Source organism: Homo sapiens, chromosome 16 (assembly GCF_000001405.40).
Source record: "Homo sapiens chromosome 16, GRCh38.p14 Primary Assembly".
In the NCBI taxonomy this organism is placed as follows: Eukaryota; Metazoa; Chordata; class Mammalia; order Primates; family Hominidae; genus Homo; species Homo sapiens.
Window position 1 is genome coordinate 31,834,126 of NC_000016.10, and position 14,218 is coordinate 31,848,343.

The 14,218-nt window shown below is 43.1% G+C and overlaps 1 annotated feature.

Annotated features, from left to right (window-relative positions):
- Positions 8,646-9,555: an enhancer, noted in NCBI's record as "OCT4-NANOG hESC enhancer chr16:31854092-31855001 (GRCh37/hg19 assembly coordinates)". NCBI's record gives its function as "activates a minimal SCP1, AML or CMV promoter by ChIP-STARR-seq in naive H9 embryonic stem cells {active_cell/tissue: H9 hESC(naive)}" and the evidence as "EXISTENCE:reporter gene assay evidence [ECO:0000049][PMID:30033119]".

Consider the following 14,218-nt stretch of genomic DNA (forward strand, 5'->3'; position numbering starts at 1 on the left):
ACCCACCTGTAGTCTCAGCTACTTGGGGGGCTGAGACAGGAGGATCACTTGAGTCCAGGAGGTTGAAGGTGCAGTAGCCAAGATCACACCACTGCACTTCAACCTGGGTGACAGAGCAAGACCTTGTCTCAAAAAATAAATAAATAAAATAAAATAAATTAAAAAAAGAGTACACACAGTCATGTGTGAGAGAGACAGAGAGAAAAAGAGAGAAAAAGGAGGACTGAATTCATCCTCACATAAGGAACTCGTTTCCATGCTAACAGCTTTAATCCATTCATGACAGTGGAGTCCTCATGACCTAATTACCTTTCGTTAGGCCCCACCTCCCAACACTGTTGCATTGGGGATTAAGTTTCTAACACATGCTTCTTGAGGGACACATTCAAACCGTAGCACCAAGTACTTTTCTGACCAAAATGGTATAAAACTGGAAATCAATAATAGCAAGAAATAAGATAATTCACAAATATGTGGAGACTAAGTAACACGTGCTTAAACAACTACTGATTCAGAGCGGAAATAAAAGGGAATTGAAATATCTAGTGGTGAACAAAAGTGAAAACATACATATCAAAACTCAAAGTATGCCATGAAAGCAGTGATAAGAGGGAAGTTTATGGAGATAAATGCCTACATTTAAAAAGAGAAAGATATCAAAATGACAACGTAACATTACACCCCAAAGAACTAAAAAAAAAATTAGCAGAAGGAAATGACAAAGATCAAAACAGAAACAAACCAAATAGAGAATGGAAAAGCTATAGAAAAATGAACAAAACTGGGTTGTTTTTTAAAAAACTAAAATCAACAAACACTTACCAAGACTAATAAAGAAAAAATAGACAAGACATAAATAAATAAAATCAGAAATGAAAGTGGAGACATTATCTCCACTAGTAATGTATCAGATATAAAAAGAATCATAAGGGACTATTATAAACATCTGTATACCAACCAATTGGATAGCTTAGGGAAAATATAAAAATTCCAGTACACATTCAACATGGTACTGGAAGTCCTAGTTAGAGTAATCAAACAAGAGAAAAAAATTAAAGGCATTCAAATTGGAAAAGAAGTCAAATTATCCCCATTCTTTGATTATATAACCTTATATCTAGAAAAACCTGAAGACTCCACCAAAGAAACTCTTAGATTTGATAAATGAATTCAGTAGTTTCAGAATACAAAATCAATATACAAAAATCAGCAGCATTTCTATACACCAATAACGATCAAGCTGATAATCAAATCAAGAAGGCAATCCCATTTCCAATAGGTACAAAAAATAATAAAATACTAGGAACATACATAACTGAGGAGGTGAAAGATCTCTAGAAGGAAAACTACAAAACACTGATGACAGCAATTGTAGCTGACATAAACAAATGGAAAAAATCCCATGCTTGTGAATTAGAAAAATTTATAGAGGCAAAATGACCAAACTGCCCAAAGCGACCTACAGACTCAATGCAATTCCTATCAAACTACCAATGTCATTTTTCACAGAATTAGAAGAAACAATACTAAAACTCATATGAAACCAAAAAGAGTCAAAGTAATCAAAGCAATCCTAAGCAAAAAGAACAAAGCTGGGCACATCACATTGCCTGACTTCAAATTATACCATAAGGCTAAGGTAACCAAAACAGCATGGTACTGGTATGAAAATAAACACACAGATCAATGGAACAGAATAGAGAGCTCAGAAATAAAACCACATGTTATAACCAACTGATCTTTGACAAAGTTGGCAAGAAAATACACTGAGGAAAGGACACCCTATTCAATAAATGGTGCTGGGAAAATAGATTGCCATATACACAAAAATGAAACTGGACCCCTACTTATCTATCTATCTATCAATCACTATATGCAAAAATCAACTCAAGATGGATTAAAGACTTAATGTAAGAATTAAAACTATTCACTCAGTGCTCAATGGCGCCCAGGCTGGAGTGCAGTGGTGTGATCTCAGCTCGCTACAACCTCCACCTCCCAGCCGCCTGCCTTGGCCTCCCAAAGTGCCGAGATTGCAGCCTCTGCCCGGCCGCCACCCCGTCTGGGAAGTGAGGAGCGTCTCTGCCTGGCTGCCCATCGTCTGGGATGTGAGGAGCCCCTCTGCCTGGCTGCCCAGTCTGGAAAGTGAGGAGCGTCTCTGCCCGGCCGCCATCCCATCTGGGAAGTGAGGAGCGCCTCTTCCCGGCCGCCATCCCATCTAGGAAGTGAGGAGCGTCTCTGCCCGGCCGCCCATCGTCTGGGATGTGGGGAGCGCCTCTGCCCCGCCGCCCCATCTGGGATGTGAGGAGCGCCTCTGCCCGGCCGCCACCCTGTCTGGGAGGTGAGGAGCGTCTCTGCCCGGCCGCCCCGTCTGAGAAGTGAGGAGACCCTCCGCCCGGCAGCCGCCCCGTATGAGAAGTGAGGAGCCTCTCCGCCCGGCAGCCACCCCACCTGGGAAGTGAGGAGCATCTCCGCCCGGCAGCCACCCCGTCTGGGAGGGAGGTGGGGGGGTCAGCCCCCCACCCGGCCAGCCGCCCCGTCTGGGAGGGAGGTGGGGGGGTCAGCCCCCCGCCCGGCCAGCTGCCCCATCCGGGAGGTGAGGGGCGCCTCTGCCCGGCCGCCCCTACTGGGAAGTGAGGAGCCCCTCTGCCCGGCCAGCCACCCCGTCCGGCCAGCCACCCCGTCCGGGAGGTGAGGGGCGCCTCTGCCCGGCCGCCCCTGCTGGGAGGTGAGGAGCCCCTCTGCCCGGCCACCACCCCGTCTGGGAGGTGTGCCCAACAGCTCATTGAGAGCGGGCCAGGATGACAATGGCGGCTTTGTGGAATGGAGGGGAGGGGGGGGGGGAAGGTGGGGAAAAGATTGAGGAATCGGATGGTTGCCGTGTCTGTGTAGAGGGAGGTGGACATGGGAGACTTTTCATTTTGTTCTGTACTAAGAAAAATTCTTCTGCCTTGGGATCCTGTTGATCTGTGACCTTACCCCCGACCCTGTGCTCTATGAAACATGTGCTGTGTCCACTCAGAGTTAAAAGGATTAAGGGCGGTGCAAGATGTGCTTTGTTAAACAGATGCTTGAAGGCAGCATGCTCATTAAGAGTCATCACCACTCCCTAATCTCAAGTACCCAGGGACACAAACGCTGCGGAAGGCTGCAGGGTCCTCTGCCTAGGAAAACCAGAGACCTTTGTTCACTTGTTTATCTGCTGACCTTCCCTCCACTATTGTCCTTTGACCCTGCCAAATCCCCCTCTGTGAGAAACACCCAAGAATGATCAATAAAAAAAAAATAAAAAACAAAGAATTAAAACTATAAAAATACTAGAAGAAAAACTGGGGAAAATTCTTCCAGACATTGATCTAAGCAAAGAATTCATGACTAACAGCTCAAAAGCACAGGCAAGGCTGGGTGTGGTGGCTCACAACTGTAATCCCAGCACTTTGGGAGGCTGAGGTGGGTGGATCACCTGAGGTCAGGAGTTCAAGACTAGCCTGGCCAACATGGCGAAACCCAGTCTCTACTAAAAATACAAAAATTAGCTGGGCATGGTGGCACTTGCCTGTAATCCCAGCTACGTGGGAGGGAATTGCTTGAACCTGGGAGGTGGAGGTTCCAGTGAGCCAAGATCATGCAGCTGCACTCCAGCCTCGGCGACAGAGTGAAACTCTGTCAAACAAACAAACAAACAAACAAACAAACAAAAAAAACCACACACAAAAAACCATAAGTAACAAAAAGAAAAACACACAAACTGAACTTAATTAAACTAAAAGCTTCTGCACTGCAAAATTATCAACAGAGTGAAGAGACAACTTGAATAATGGGAGGAAATACTTATGTTTCAGGGGACTAATATCCAGAATTTACAAGGAACTCAAACAATCCAACAAAAAAATAATAAATAGTCCTGTTTAAAAGTGGAAAAAGGCTGGGCATGGTGGCTCATGCCTGTAATCCTAGCACTTTGGGAGCCTGGGGCGGGTGGATCACCTGAGGTCAGGAGTTTGAGACCAGCCTGAACAACATGGAGAAACCCCGTCTCTATGAAAAATGCAAAAATTAGCCAGGCGTAGTGGCGCATGCCTATAATCCCAGCTACTCAGGAGGCTGAGGCAGGAGAATCGCCTGAATCTGGGAGGTGGTTGCAGTGAGCCAAGATTATGCCAATGTACTCCAGGCTGGGCAACAAGAGCAAAACTCTATCTCGGGGAAAAAAAAAAAGTGGAAAAAGGACATGAATAGACATTTTTCAAAAGAAGATATTCAGATGGCCAGCAGACATATGAAAAAATGCTTAACATTACTGATCATCAGAGAAATGCGAGTTAAAACCACAATGAGAAATCATCTTACACTAGCCAGAATAGCTATCATTAAAAAGACAAGCCGGGCATGGTGACTCAACGCCTGTAATCTCAGCACTTTCGGGGGCTGACGCAGGCAGATCACGAGGTCCGGAGATCGAGACCATCCTGGCTAACACGGTGAAACCCCGTCTCTAATAAAAATAAAAAAAATTAGCCAGGCATGGTGGCACGCACCTGTAGTCCCAACTACTCAGGAGGCTGAGGCAGAAGAATTGCTTGAACCTGGAAGGTGGAGGTTGCAGTGAGCTGAGATTGTGCCACTGCACTCCAGCCTGGGTGACAGAGTGAGACTCCATCTCAAAAAAAACAAAAAAAAAAAGACAAAAAATAACAGCTGTTGGTGAGGATATAGAGAAAAAAGAACCCTTACACACCGTTAGTGGGAATGTAAATTAGTACAACCTCTGTGGAAAACAGTATGGAGATTTCTCAAAGAACTAAAAATAGAACTACAATTCAATCCAGCAATCCCACTACCTCGTATCTACGTAAAAGAAAATAAATTGTTATATCAAAAAGATACCTGCCCTTATATGTTTATTGCAGCACTATTCACAATAGCAAAGATATGGAATCAACCTAAGTGGCCATCAATAGATGACTGGATAAAGAAAATGTCACACATACACACACCATGGAATACTACTCGTGGAAGACAAAAAATTAATAAAGAAATGGGAAACTTGAATAACACTATACACCAAATAAACTTAACAGACATATACAAAACTTTTCACCCAACAGCAGAAGAATATATATTCTTCTTAAGCATACATGCCACATTCTGCAGCACAGTCTGGCAAGAGACACCTCCACCAGGTGGGACAGGGAAGTGAACACTGGACCCTCCCTTGGACCCCAGCACCAGCCCTTTACCCGACCCCAGTGAAACCCAGCACCAAGAAGGCCCCCATGACCCCAAAGTCCAGGCTGGCATCAGCAGACTGAGCTGCCAGGTCCACCAAGGCACTGGGTTGGATTCTGCATCCTCAAGCTCCAGGCCTTCCTGGAAGGCTTGGTCTCCAGGCCAGCCCCACCACCAGGCCAGCCCCAGTGGCCATGGGCCTCAGGCCTGCCCTAGCACAGGCCAACCTCTACAAACCCAGGCTCTCTGCCTCTCCTCACATTCTCAGGCTCCAGGCTAGCCTCACAGACTGTCTCTGGGCCTTCCCCAGTATCAGGCCAGCCCCAATTGACCCAGACTTTGAGCCACTCCCAGCACTAGGCTTCAATCTGCCCCAGCACCAGGCTGGCTCCACAGCCCTACATCATCAGGCCAGTACCCATGGACCAGCCTCCCGGACTACTCCAGGGTCCAGCCAAGCCCAGAGCCAGGTTCACCCCTTCAGCCCCAGGCTTCAGCCTGCCCCAGCCCTAAGTTGGCACCCTGTCATCACGCACCAACCTGGCATCCATGGACACAGGCTCCAGGACTGCCTCCATGGCCCCATGACCCAGGCCACCCCTCGAAGACCTAGCCTCCAGGCCAGCACTGCATACCCAGCTTCCAGACTATCCCCTATGGACCAGGCTCCAGGCCAGTATCCACAATCCCAGGCTCCAGACACACCCCTGCAAACCCAGGCTCTATGCCTGCCCCAGCACCAGGCTAGCCTTAGGCTTCAGTCTAGTCCCACGAACTTCAGACTCCAGTGAACCCAGGATCCATGCTCACCCAAGTGAACTCCAGTTCCAGGTCAGTCACTGCAACCTGAGGCTCCAGGACTACCCCTGCAGACACAGGCTCCGGCTATCCCTGGTAGACCCAGGCCCCAGGACCCTGCAGACCTAGGGCCACCCCAGCACTAGACCAGCTCCTTTGTATTCAGGCTCCAGTCCTATCCCAGTTAATCCAGTTTCCAGATGGCTTCACTGAAGAATTCTACCAACATTTTAAAAACTAAACCTTCTCAAACTCTTCAAATAAATTAAAGAAGAAGGAATACTTTCAAATTCGTTTTATGAGGCTAGCATTACCCTGATGCCAAAGCCAGACAAGGATACTACAAGAAAAGAAAATTACAGGCCAATATCTCTGATGAACATAAATGCAAAAATCCTCAGCAAAATACTAGCAAACAAAATTCAACAGCACATTAAAAAGATTATTCACCATGATCACATGGAATTTGTCACAGAGATGCAAGGATGATTCAACACACACAAATCTATAAATGTAATACACACTACAGTAACAGAATGAAGGACAAAAACCATATGATCATCTCCATAGATGCATAAAAAGCATTTAACAAGGTTTAACATCCTTTATGATAAAAGCTCTCAACAAATTAGGTATAGAAGCAATGTACCTCAACACAATAAAAGTCATATATGACAAACCCATAGCTAATATCATACTTAATGGTGAAAAGTTAAAAGCTTTCCTTCTAGAAGCAGGAATGAAGAAAGAATGCTTACTCTTGCCACTTCCATTCAACATAGCACTGGAAGTTCTGGCCGGAGCAGTTAAGCAAGAGAAAGAGATAAACGGCATCCAAGTTAGAAAGGTAGAAGTGAAATTGTTGCTATTTGCAGATGACATGCTATTATACATAGAAAACCCTAAAGTCTCTACCAAAAAAACTGTTAGCTTTTTGAGATATATAATACCTTATTGTTGGCATCATACATCCTGTATGTTTCTACTACAAATAAATGATAAATGTGTGAGGCATGCTAGTTCATTTGATTTTATGAATAACACTGCATTCTACCCCGTAAGTAAGTACATTCATTATGTGTCCATTTAAGAAAGAATTTCAAGAAATCTGTCAGAACTAACAGGTAAATTCAGTAAAGCAGCAGGATACAAAATAAACATACAACAATCAGTAAAGTTCCACATTAACAATGAACTATCTCAGGGAAAAAAATCAGGAAAACTATCCCATTTATGATACTTAGCATTAAAAAAAATACTTAGAAACAAATATTACCCAGGAAGTGAAAGACTCATACATTGAAAACCATAAAACACTGATGAAAGAAATTAAAGAAGACACAAATAAATGGAAAGATATCCCATATTCATCATGGGTTGGAAGAATTAATATTGTTAAAATGTCTATGCCACCCAAAATGATCCACAGGCTCTATGCAATCCTTATCAAAACTCCAGTGACATGTTTTTTCACAGAAACAGAAAAAGCAATTCTAAATTTATATGGAGCCACAAAAGACCCTAAATAGTCAAGGCTATCTTGGGCAAAAAGAATAAAGTTGGAGGCCTCACACTACCTATTTCAAAATATACTACAAATCCATACTAATCAAAACAGTATTTTATAGGTATAAAAACAGACACATAGACCAATGAAACATAATAGATAGCCCAGAAATAAACCCACCCATTTATGGTCAATTGATTTTCAACACAGTTGCCAATAACGCACAGTGGGGAAAGAACAGTTTCTACAACAAATGCTGTCAGGAAAACTAGATATTCACATGCAGAAGAATGAAATTTCACTTTTTTTCACACCATCTGCAAAAATAAATTCAAAGTCGATCAAAGAGTTAAATGTAAGAACTAAAACTGTAAAACCACTAGAAGAAAACAAAGTAGAAAAGCTCCATGACATTGGTCTAAGCAATGGTTTTTTGGATATGAGCCTAAAAGCCCAAGCAAGAAAAGCAAAAATCAACAAATGGGATTACACCAAACTGTTTCTACATAGCAATGGCAACAATCAAAAGAGTGAAGAGACAACCTACGGAATAGGAGAAAATATTTGACAACGATACATCTGATGAGGGGATAATATCTACAATATGTAAGGAACTCAACAGCAGGCAAACAAATGACCCAGTTAAAGAATGGGCAAAGTATGGCTGGGCACGGTGATCCCAGGTGGCTCAAACCTGTAATCCCAGCACTTTGGGAGTCTGAGGTGGGCAGATCAGGAGTTCGATACCAGCCTGGCCAACATGGTGACACCCCGGCTCTACTAAAAATACAAAAATTAGCCAGGCATTGTGGTGGGCACCTATAGTCCCAGCTACTCAGAAGGCTGAGCAGGAGAAATGCTTGAACCTGGGAGGCGGAGGTTGCAGTGAGTCAAGATTTTGCCACTGTGCTCCAGCCTGGGTGGCAAAGCGAGACTCCATCTAAAAAAAAAAAAAAAAAAAAAGAATGGACAAAGTACGAGAAAAGGCATTTCTCAAAAGAATATATACAAGGGGAAAGGGAGATAGATAGGGAGAGATTTGTTAAAGGATAGAACATATAGTGTTCTATAGCACTGTACAACGACTAGGGATAACAATAATATGCTGTGTAGTGCGGGGGTCTGTCCTGCAGACCCTGACCCAACGAAGAATGAATAACATACATTGACACAGATATTATGCTTGTCAGTCCAGCTGAGGGTCCGGGCCACTTACAGACTCCAAGGAGAGTCTGTAAAGAGTTGCAGCCACGGCCTCGACTCGCTGGCCCTGCCCGCATTTATTCAGCACACATTAAATGACAAAGGTCTCAAGTAAACACCACTAGAAGGTAATTACTGATAACAACCCACTGAGTAGAGAGCAATCAGGCTACTGACCCACTGAGTAGAGGGCAATCATGCACTCCCGGATGGTCAAAGGTTAGTCAGGACCACCCAAGTAAACAAACTATTTAGATGGATTCCTCTACATTCTTATGTTAATTACCCTTGCTATAGCTCAAAGAGGATTAGGCTGCCTTCAGCCATAACTCTATCCCGAGGCTTTTGCAAAAACCTTCTGGCCTTCCAAGAAGGTTTGTATTTATTTTACAATTTCTCCCACCATCCTGACTGAACCCCTACAATGTAGTTTCAAATAGCTAGAAGGAGGATATTGAATGCTTCCAACACAAAGAGATGATAAATGTTCAAGATGATGGATATGCTAATGATCCTGATCTGATCACTATTCATTGTATATATTGAAACATCACTATATGCCCCATAAATATGTATGGTTATTATATGTCAACTTAAAAAAAAAGAAGATATATAAATGGCCAACAAGTATATGAAAAATGCTTAACATCACTAATCATCAGAGAAATGCAAATCAAAACCACAGTGAGACATCATCTCACACCTGTTGAATAGCTATTATCAAAAAGACAAAAGAAAACAATTGTTGACAAGAATGTGGAGAACAAAGAACCCTTGTACACTGTTAGTGGGAATGTAAACTGGTGTAGCCATTACAGAAAACAGTATGAAGTTTCCTCAGAAAAATAAAAATAGAACTATCATCTGAATCATCAATCCTACTACTGAGTATATATCCAAAGGAAATGAAGTCAGTATGCCAAAGAGATCTCTGCATTCCATGTTCATTGCAGCACTATTCACAATAGCCAATATATGGAATCAACCTAAGTGTCCATTGACAGAAGAATGGATAAAGGAAAAGTGGGCTGGGCATGGTGGCTCACGCCTGTAATCCCAGCACTTTGGGAGGCAGAGCCAGGCAGATCACCCGAGGTCAGGAGTTCAAGATCAGTCTGGCCAACATGGCAAAAACCCTGTCTCTACTAAAAATACAAAAATTAGCAGGGCATGGTGGTGCCACCTGTAGTCCCAGCTACTCGGGAGGCTGAGGCAGGAGAAACACTTGAGCCTGGGAGGCGGAGGTTGCAGTGAGCTGAGATCGAGCCACTGCACTCCAGCCTGGCTGACAGAGCAAGACTCCATCTCAAAAAAAAAAAAAAAAGGGGTATGTATTAGTATATATACATGGTGGAATACTATTCAGCCTTTAAAAAGAAGGAAATCCTGTCATTTGCTACAATGTGGATGAACCTGGAAGACATGTTAAGTGAAATAAGCCCAGCTCAGAAAGAAACATTACATGATACTCATATGTGGAAGCTAAAATGTTAAACTCATAGAAGCAGAGAATAGAATGATGGTTACCAAGCAGTAAGTGGTAAGAAGATTGGGGAAATGTTGGTCAAATGATATAAAATTCTAGTTAGAATGGAGGAATAAGTTCAAGAAATCTAATATACATCATGGTGACTACAGATAACAACAATGTACTGGACTGCGTTCTTGAAAATTGCTGAGAGTAGATTTTAAGTATTCTTACACCAAAAGAAAAATGATATGTGAGGTACTGCGTATGTTAAGTAGCTTGATTTAACCACACCACAAAATATACATATTTCAAATACTATGTTGTACATTATAACTATATAAAAGTTCCTGACAATCATAAAAAATAAATTACCTAATTTTATTTTATTACTTTTTTTTATTAGAGATGGGGGTTTCACTGTGTCACCCAGGCTGGTGAGCAGTAGTGTGACTGTGGCTCACCACAGCCACTAATTCCTGGGCTCAAGTAATCCGCCTACCTCTACCTCCCGGAGTAGCTGGGACTGCAGGGGAACACCACTGCCCTGGCTAATTTTTTTTTTTTTTTTTTAAACAGAATCTTGCTCTGTTGCCAGGCTGGAGTGCAGTGGTGCGATCTTGGCTCACTGCAACCTCTGCCTCCTGGGTTCAAGGGATTCTCCTGCCACCATGCCCAGCTAATTTTTTTTTTTGTATTTTTAGTAGAGATGGGGTTTCACCATGTTGGCCAGGATGGTCTCAATCTCCTGACCTCGTGATCCTCCCGCTTCAGTCTCCCAAAGTGCTGGGATTACAGGCACGAGCCACCCAATTTTTGTATTTTTTGTAGAGATGGGGTTTCTCTGTGTTGCCCAGGCTGATCTCTTAGAACTCCTGGACTCTAGACCAGCATGGTGGTGCACACCTGAAGTCCCAGCTACTTGGGAGGCTGAGACAGGAGAATCACTTGAGCCTGGGAGGCAGGGGTTGCAGTGAGCTGAGATTACACCACTGCACTCCAGCCTGGGCAACAGAGCAAGACTCCATCTAAAAAGAAAAAAATTGCTGGGTTCAAGTGATCCTCCCACCTCCGCCTCCCAAGTCGCTGGGACCACAGGTTTGCACTACCACAGGTGGATAATTTTTGTATTTTTTGTAGAGACAGGGTTTCCCTATGTTGCCCAGGCTGGTCGCTTAAGACTCCTGGACTCAAGTGATCCTCCCGCCTCAGCCTCCCAGTGTACTGGAATTACAGGCATGAGCCACTGCATTATTAATATATAAATACATCAAACAAATGTATCGGGGATTCCAGTGGATTCTAAATGGAGTTGGACAGTTGGATGTGCCCGGAATACTGGTAGGCATGGGCCGCCCATTTGCATTTGTAGGAGAACCGAAAAATATCCAGAGGGCAAAACCCTTTAGGAGCTGCAAGAAGCAGGCTCTAGAGGAGAGTAAGGCAAGTGAGGCATCCAGGGCACATTTAAGGAGGCCCCACTCTCAGGAGCTGACCCTGCACTTTCATGAACCTGAGAGTGAGGGCTTTGTTAAAATTCCCACTGACTCCTCCTTTGTCTCACCAAGTCCCAGCCCTGGTAAGAAGCCAGACGTGTCCAGCTTGTTCCAGTGGTCGGAGCAGGGGTACAGAATTTTATCATAAGACCACGTTGTAGCTACTAACAGGAGTAAAAAGAAAGAATTTATACAATGATGTAGCAGGCATTTGTAATACAATGTGAGTATTTTGTTTTACAGATGAGGGGGTCTTGCTATGTTGCCCAGACTGGTCTTGAATGCCTGGCCTCAAGTGATCCTCTCACCTCAGCCTCCCAAAGTGCTGGGACTCAGGTGTGAGCAAATTGCTTGGTCTTGATGAGGGTGAGGGTCATGCTTAAAGTCCAGCTGAGAGTCATCGTGAGGATCAGAGTGGGGGTCAGTGTCAGAGTGAGGATGAGGAGGAATGTGAGACAAACATTCAGAGCCAGGGTCAGGGCGAGAGTCAGAGTCAGTTTCAGTGTCAGAGTTCATCTCAGGGTGAGAAAAACTTAGTTCCAGGGTTAGGCTGAGTGTCCAGTTCAGGCTCAGCATAAGTTTCAGATTCACAGTAGGTTCAAGGACATGGTGAAGGTATGGATAAGGGTCCTTGTAGAGTCAGGTGAGGTCAGGATCAGGGATACTGTAAGGGTCAAGTCAGGGTCAGTGGAAAGTAAGCAGCAGAGTCAGGGTCAGGCAAGGGTCAGATTTATGGTCATGATGAGGGTCGTGGTGACGTTAAGATTCCAGGCCAGGGGAGGGTCAAGTTGAGTGCCACCGCAAGGTTACCTTCAACGTTTGGGTCAGGATTAAGGGTGAGGCTAAAACTGAAGACCAAAGTGAGGGTCAGGGTCAAGTACAGAATCGGGGTCAGGGTAAGAACAAGATAGAGTGTGTAAGTGACAATCAGGATCAGAGTCAGGTGAGTGTCACAGTCTGACACAAGGTGAGAGTGAGAACAAGGTAAAGCTCAGGCGTGGAGGAGGGAGAGGTGTCAGAATGACAGCAAGGTCAGAGTCAAGGTGAGAGTGTATGCTTCAAGGTCAGGAGTCATGATTAAAGGCCAGGCACAGTGGCTCACACCTGTAGTCCTAGTGCTTTGGGAGGCTAAGGTGGGAGGCTTGCTGGAGGCCAGGAGTTCAAGACCAGCCTGGGCAACATAGAAACACAGCTGGCAACATCAGGGAAGGGAATTACCTTTCCTGGCTAAATAAGTTTCATGAAAATTATTTGTGAAATGTACAAATGGCAAGAGAATAATGTTAAGGTCCAGACACCTCTAAAAAACTGAAACGCATCTACTACTCTTTAGCAATTTAACTTAAGAGTATGGTGCATCTGGAAGTACAATACTCGCTGTGGACATTCATAATCTGAAGACATTTTATTCTTGGCTCAACTGAGGAAACACATGGGCATGAGAAATGTCACTGCAGAGGTAGGGGACAGAAACACACTGGAGGAATTTGATCCAAAATACTGTGCCAGAAATTTTTGGAAGCCTTAAAATCCTGGTTGGCAGTGGGTTTTTCTAACTACCAGAACTGAAAAGTTATGATTAAAATATAACACTTTCTTTTTCTAAAGACTTTAAGATCTTTTACCATTAAATCTCTGTGCCACACATTAATGAGAAGTTCACAATCATATGAATTGCACCAATTATTTTATTAGGAAGGAAATGGAGGGCATATCCTCTGTGCTCAGGAACTCTGATCAAGATTAATAAAGACCCATGCTCTCACACATCTTTCTCGTCTACCTGAAATGCAAGACACATTTTAAGGAAAACTCAAACTCCTCTAGTGAGCAGGGACAGAGAAGTTTTGTACTGATCAAGTTTTTTGAGGTTTTGATGCCCTTGTGAGCCACAGATAATTGACAATTTCTGTCATTATCATTTTATTCCTTTTGTTTTCAAGTGTCCTGATTGTGTCCTCTGTTTTCCATTTTAAAGACACATAGACACTAGAAGGCACTAACCTTATTGAATTTAGATAATGTTAACTTGTAAATTTCAACAGTTAACTTGAAACGAACTTGTCAGTTTTTGCAAATACATGTTTTACTGAGTTAACTATAATTGAAACCTTAAGGGAAAAAAGTAGGGATAGTGAATTTAGAGGATTCTTAAAATAATGTGTGAATGCTGTGTCATTCAAGTTTGCAAATCATTACTTTACAACATCCTTATCTAAATAGTCTTATATTATTGGAAATACACTAAGTACTTTCAACCAAAAAAACAGAGCATAATTAAAGAATTCTGAGTTAGTTCAGATTATTGTGCCTTAAAACATAAAACTTTCCATAAATGCATAAAAATAATTTATTGTTGTATTAATTTATTATGAGAAATAGTCAAGTAAAATTTCAATTCAAATATACTATAGAAAGTAAAAAGTTTTTTCTTCAAAGTTTCCCTTCTTGTTAAAGAATAAATCATAAGCATTAGAAATAACAGTTTCTTTTAAAGACTAACTTCCTTCAAGCCTC